The sequence below is a fragment of the Homo sapiens genome, chromosome 2 (genome assembly GCF_000001405.40).
Source record: "Homo sapiens chromosome 2, GRCh38.p14 Primary Assembly".
Taxonomy (NCBI): domain Eukaryota; kingdom Metazoa; phylum Chordata; class Mammalia; order Primates; family Hominidae; genus Homo; species Homo sapiens.
Window position 1 is genome coordinate 205,894,750 of NC_000002.12, and position 6,798 is coordinate 205,901,547.

Here is a 6,798-nt window from a genome sequence, read left to right on the forward strand (position 1 = left end):
TTCGCAACTGCAAAAATGTAGAACCAACCCAAATACCCATCAATCAATGAGTGGATAAAGAAACTGTGGTATATATATGCAATGGAATACTACTCAGCCATAAAAAGGAATGAATTAATGAAATTTGCAGAAACTTAGATGGGATTGGAGACTATTATTCCAAGTGAGGTAACTGAAGAATGGAAAACCAAACATTGTATGTTCTCACTTATAAGTGGGAGCTAAGCTATGAGGATGCAAAGGCATAAGAATGACACAATGGACACGGGGAACTCGGTGGGAAAGGGTGGGAAGGTGGTGAGGGATAAAAGACCACAAATTGGGTACCAGGTATACTGCTCGGGAGATGGGTGCACACGAATCTCACAAATCACCACTAAAGAACTACTCATGTAACCAAATACCACCTGTTCCCCAATAACCTTTAGAAATAAAAATGTTTTTAAAAAAAGAATTTTTGGCAGTCGTGTTCACTGCACCATTGCCAGGGCCTGCACCAGTGCCTGACATATGTGAGATGCTCAACAGATATTTATGAAGTGACAGATATATATAGAAAAAAAATAATGAAAGTGCTAAAAATCATCAAAAGTATTTGTTTCACAGTGAGAAATGTTCAGTATTATTGCATTATTCATCTTTGTCAACATTAGCAGCAAATCAGAGTTCCATAAGCCCTCTTTAGACTTGAACAAATTTCCAGTCAGTGTGTGTGTACAAAACACATTGGTACAGCGTATCATTATCTTCTTGGTTCCAAATGATCCCACAGTTGATGTTCTCCGTGTTTGTCTGAGCCTCTGGGGCTTTATTAATGTAATTATAGACACAAGTCACCAGTTGAGTGTATAATTTGGTGGAAGGGACTATCTATATAGAACAAACCACTGACAGGTAGGTTAGAGCCAGAATCGCCCAAGGAATCAACTGGCTCTGCTGGTCCATTTTACGGATGTGGGAAGGCCCTGAGAGAATAAGGGACCTGCCCTAAGCCACCTACATGCCTAATCTGGGCAGAGATCAGAAAACTTCAAAGGAACAAGTCTGTCTTTTTTTATATGAATGGAAGTTGGATTCGAAAGATGTAAATTAAACTGACCTTAGTTGAACACATTCTCAGGGAGACTTCTTCCCTCTTCCAACTGTAAGAATCAGTGCCCAGACAAAAATCATCCTCAGAGGTGACACATCACACAGTGTCATCCAAAAGGAATACAGGTGCAGAAGCAAGTGTCGCACTAAACATCCCAGGCAGACTCTCAGCATCCTTCCCAGCATTTCACACTGGAAAAACTATGCTGCAACAGTCTTCACCAATAGCCTCCCTCTGCCGTGAAAGAAAAATAGCATCATCAAGCTAACCAGAAGCACACTATCAGACTCTCTTGGATTTGAGGGGGAGGCGGAAACATCCAGTACAGAACTCAGAAAACACTCACACATCTGTCTTCTATTAAGATGCCCTCTGTAGTTTCAAAAATGCCCCCTGTCTCAGCTCCTCACCCCCAGGCAAGCCAGGTCCCCACAGGGCACAATTTCCTCCGGGCTTTTTCTTCTTGCCCTGGTGGTATAAACTCTCAGGCGACCTGCTCACATCAGCCCCTACACCAGTGTCTCCACCTTGCTATTGGAGAACAGCATACATTCTGTGTCCACTGCAATGCTTCTCGTTGCTATCTGAGTTGCTAAGAAGCAGTGGGATGCAGCTGGCAGTCTCTGAGATGCAGGGCGGGTTGTGAGAGCCTCTCCCTTGCCTCATGTCAGGGGTCACGTGATTATTCTATTACTGTCTCTACCCCCTCTCTCCTAACCTACAGTCAATCTGACAGTTTTCCCAAACAGGGCTGCCCCATTTCTAAATATTCACAAGTGCCATCCGCCAGGGCCTGCCAGGGCAGTGTTGATTGCTTCAAGATGTGTGTTAATATCAAGTGGCTTTGCAGCATGGGAATATGCTTGGCTGGGCCCCTCTGTTTACTGTCCAACCGATACCTTGGAATCCTGCTCTTATCAATGTTCTGTTGTGTGTTTTACTTGACATTTTTGAAAACACCAAAGTTAGCCCTATATAAAAACTGATTGGTTCCTCTGTGATGATCCAGGTACTCATGATGCTGCAAGTCAGGTGGCTGTCACTAGTGGCTAAGGTGCTGTGGGCTGAACAGAGTTCTCCCTGGGCACAGGGAGCAACTCTTGATTGTCTCTGTGGCTCAGGTGCCTGTCTCCTGCTAAGTCTGAGTCCTCCAAGGACAGGGACTTATCCATCTTTATAGCCCACAAACCCAGAGTAGTGCCAGGTACATAGTGAGTGCCTCTCTGTTGAATGAAATGCAGCCTCACTTTTTTTTCTATTAGAGTTAAAATACACATAACATTGACCATCTTAACCACTTTAAAGTGTACAATTCAGTAGCATTGAATATATTCACAGTGTTATGCAATGTCATAGTTTTTATTCTTTTTTTTTTTTTGAGATGGAGTCTTGCTCTGTTGCCCAGGCTGGAGTACAATGGCGCAATCTCGGCTCACTGCAACCTCCACCTCCTGGGTTCAAGTGATTCTCCTGCTTCAGCCTCCTGAGTAGCTGGGACTATAGGCATGCACCACCACGCCCATCTAATTTTTTGTATTTTTAGTAGAGACAGGATTTTACTGTGTTAGCCAGGATGGTCTCAATCTCCTGACCTCGTGATCTGCCCACCTTGGCCTCCCAAAATGCTGGGATTACAGGCTTGAGCCACTGCACCTGGCCTTTTTTTTTTTTTTTAAAGGTGCAATGCTTCATTCCTGTAATCCCAGCTCTTTGGGAGGCCAAGGCGGGGGGATTGTTTGAGCCCAGAAGTTTGACACCCATCTGGGCAACACAGTGGGACCCAGTCTCTACAAAAAATAAAAAATTAGCAGGGCAGGGTGGCACATACCTGTATTCTCAGCTACTCAGGAGGCTGATGTGGGAGGATTGCTTGAGCCCAGGAGGTCAAGGCTGCAGTGAGCTGTGGTTGCACCACTGCACTCCACCCTGGGCAACAGGACGAGACCCTGTCTCAAAAAAAAAAAAAAAAAAAAAAAGACTCCTCAATAAAATTACTCTAAATAGATTAACAGTTTTTTCTAAGAAATGAAAAAATAAAAGATAAAATATGGAGCGTGATTTCAAGGCAATCTAGACAACAAGGTGTGAATACTGTTCTCCACTAAATGCAACTGTTATCACTTCTTAGCTCTTCTGTGGTCGTCTCCTAGTGCTCAAAACGTAGTCATCAAGCAGATGTGTTGAGCACTCTGTTAGATGCTGGGAATAAACAGATGAACAGACATGGCCAGTGTCTGTGAGGTGCTTAAAGACCAGAGAAGAGACAGATGCTTATTTCTAATTCCCCACACTATACTGCGAAACTCGTCAGGGTAGGTGTTTTTGTCTTTTTTTTAATTCCCTGCTCTATCCCCAGTATATTGAACAGTGCCTGGCATGCTATAGGCATTTTAAAAATACTCGATGAATGAATAAATAATGAAAATCTGGCTGGGGAAGTAGGAGAAAGCTTCACCAAAGGCCTTAGTTGGGTTTGTTCTTGAAAGTATCATTTCTTGAAGAAAGAGTTACAGACATCCTCACAGGAGAAGAAGGTCTTCTTGGAAGCCTGGGTACAGAGCAGGTGGCATGACCGGATGCTGGAAGAGTAGGACATGGAAAGACAGATCAAATCACAAAGGACTTTGTATGCCACCTTGAGGAATCTAGAGTTTTGCTTACATCTTGTTAAGTGAAGAATTTTAAGCAAAATGTTTGTGCTATGCTCTGAATGTTTGTGTTCACCCAAAATTCATACATTGAAACCTAATCACCAAGGTAATGGTATTAGAAGGTGAAGCCTTTGGGAGGTGATTAGGTCATGAGGAGTCTGCCCTAATGAATGGGATTAGTGCCCTTATGAAAGAAGCCCCAGAGAGTTGCCTTCCTCTTTCACCACGTGAGCATAAAGCAAGAAGGTGCCATCTACGAGGAACAGGCTCTCACCAGACACCAAAAAAACTGCTGAATGCCTTGATTGTAGACTTCCCAGCCTCCAGAACTGTGAGCAATAAATTCCATTGTTTATAAATTACCTAGTCTAAGGTATGTTGTTATAGTAGCCCAAATGACTAAGGCAGTTTGCATTTTGGAAAAGTCACAGAATTGTATTCTAGATAAGCAGCACTTATCAAACCACACACATCCCCACCACTTTCCAGGCATCAGAAGCCATTAATCATGTCATATCTGCAGCTAATACTTTGTTTCCATGCATACTGCATCATTCCTGCTGAGAAAATTTCCCAGACTTCCCACTCAAATCCCTCTTCCCTGGAATATCTTCCTTTCATGGCAAAGAAAAAGAAAATGAGGAGAGATGCCTATGAATCCACTCACCGGCCTTTCTGTCTGATATCATTTTGCTGTGTCCCCACCCAAATCTCATCTTGAATTGTAGCTCCCATAATTCCCATGTGTTATGGGAGGGACCCAGTTGGAGATAATTGAATTGTGGGGGTGGTTTCCTCCATACTGTTCTCGTGGTAGTGAATAAGTCTCACGAGATCTGATAGTTTTATAAGGGGAAACCCCTTTTGTTTGGTTCTGATTTCCTCTCTTGACTGCTGCCATGTAAGACGTGCCTTTCACCTTCCATCATGATTGTGATGTCTTCCCAGGCACGTGGAACTGTGAGTCCATTAAGCCTCTTTTTCTTTTTAAATTACCCAGTCTCGGGTATGTCTTCATCAGCAGCGTGAAAACAGACTAATACACCCTCCCATGGGATTACTCTTTTAGCTGCTTCTAAGCATTCCGCATCAGTTCCTGGTTTGGATTCTCCTGGAAGCAGACTCTGAGACAAGGACCTGAGAGTCAATAGGTTATTGGGAAAGATCCTGGAAAGGCAAGAGAATGAGAAGGGAAAGTGAAATCCAGAAGGGAGAAGCAAACAATGAAGGGTGAGTTGGTAAGCTGGTGAGGAGGCTGCCACGATGGGAGACTCTGGCCTGGCCCCACTAAAGAACTGTAGAGTACACCTCAGAACTTTCCCCAGGAGGGCCAAGGAAGCTGCAATACTTATCCACCAATTCCTAACCCTCACAGGCTGGGGACCACCTCTGGGGGAATTATATTCTAGGCGTCTCTGGTCTGCCCTGTGCTCTGGCTGACAGATCCCTCAGGTATAGAAGCAGAGAGATGAGGGCGTCTGTGGTAGGCAGCTGTGAGCATGCACAAGAGTGGCCTTTGCAGCTGCAAGTGAACTCAGAGGTGGGCCAAAGGGAAAAGGGCAGGGCTTCAGCAGCATCTTCTACACCATCTGCCCTACCAGAGCTTGTTTCCCCTCTAGAAGATGGTTGCAGAGACAATGCTGTGTGTCCACCATCTTGTCTCAGGCACACAGAAAGATGACATGTCCCAGGCTCCCCTGTCATTTAAGCCATCTCATTCACAGCTAAATTAGAAACAGGGTGCTACTTCTGCCCAGTAGAATATGAACAGAAGTTACTAAAGTCATTTTCAGGCCTGACCCTTAAAAACAACCCAGGCGAGGGCCAGGCGCAGTGGCTCACACCTGTAATCCCAGCACTTTGGGAGGCCGAGGTGGGCGGATCACGAGATCAGGAGATCGAGACCATCCTGGCTAACATGGTGAAACCCTGTCTATACTAAAAATACAAAAAATTAGCTAGGCATGGTGGCGGGCACCTATAGTCCCAGCTACTCAGGAGGCTAAGGCAGGAGAATGGCGTGAACCCTGGAGGTGGAGCTTGCAGTGAGCCAAGATCACGCCACTGCACTCCAGCCTGGGTGACAGAGCAAGACTCCGTCTCAAAAAAAACAAAAACAAAAAACAACCCATGCAAGGATGTGACGGTGGTCTGGCTGCAACATCTGTCACCCCACTGATCACCAGGGTTGATTCGGCTGATCTGGCTGGCTAGGTGGGTATGCCCTCCTGAGCCTCACCACTCCATGTTCATCCCTCCTGAAGCTGCATGCTTGGTTGAAGAAGACAACCTTCCCCAGTAGAAGGCCAATATTTGGTCAAGGGTATATAAGTAGCTGCATTCCCTTGCTAGAACCTCCAAACAAGCTCTCAAGGTCCATTTGCAGGAAAATGTTGGGTAGTGAAGCTTCCAAGGCTCCAGACACATCCAAATGAGGTGCTGCATGTGGCAGTATGTTTTTTGTTTTTTGTTTGTTTGTTTGTTTGTTTGTTTTGAGACAGAGTCTTGCTCTGTCACCCAGGCCGGAGTACAGTGGCACGATCTCGACTCACTGCAACCTCCGCCTCCCAGGTTCAAGCGATTCTCCTGCCTCAGCCTCCCAAGTAGCTGGGATTATAGGCACCCGCTGCCATACCTGGCTAATTTTTTGTATTTTAGTAGAGACGGAGTTTCACCGTGTTGCCCAGGCTGGTCTCAAACTCCTGAGCTCAGGCAATTCACCCACCTTGGCCTCCCAAATTGCTAGGATTGCAGGCATAAGCCACCACACCCAGCCACTTTTCTTAAAAACACACACACAAACAAACAAAACTATGTGATCCTCCAGTTCTTTCTCTTCAGTGACCAACTTGAAGTCCATATGTTTAAGATGGTAGGAATGTAAGATTGAAGGAGCTTTGATCCCTGAGTCACTGAGTGAAGGAGTCCACCAAGGAAAGCCACTCAAATTATGCCAGACTGTAACATGAATGAGAAATAGGCAGTATGCAGCCCCTAAGATTTGGAGATTTGTTACTGCAGAAAAGCCTAGCCCATCCTGACTAACACAGAATA

The 6,798-nt window shown here is 45.1% G+C and overlaps 1 pseudogene; it reads left to right on the forward strand.

Annotated features, from left to right (window-relative positions):
* Positions 5,881 to 6,210, forward strand: RN7SKP178 (RN7SK pseudogene 178; annotated as a pseudogene).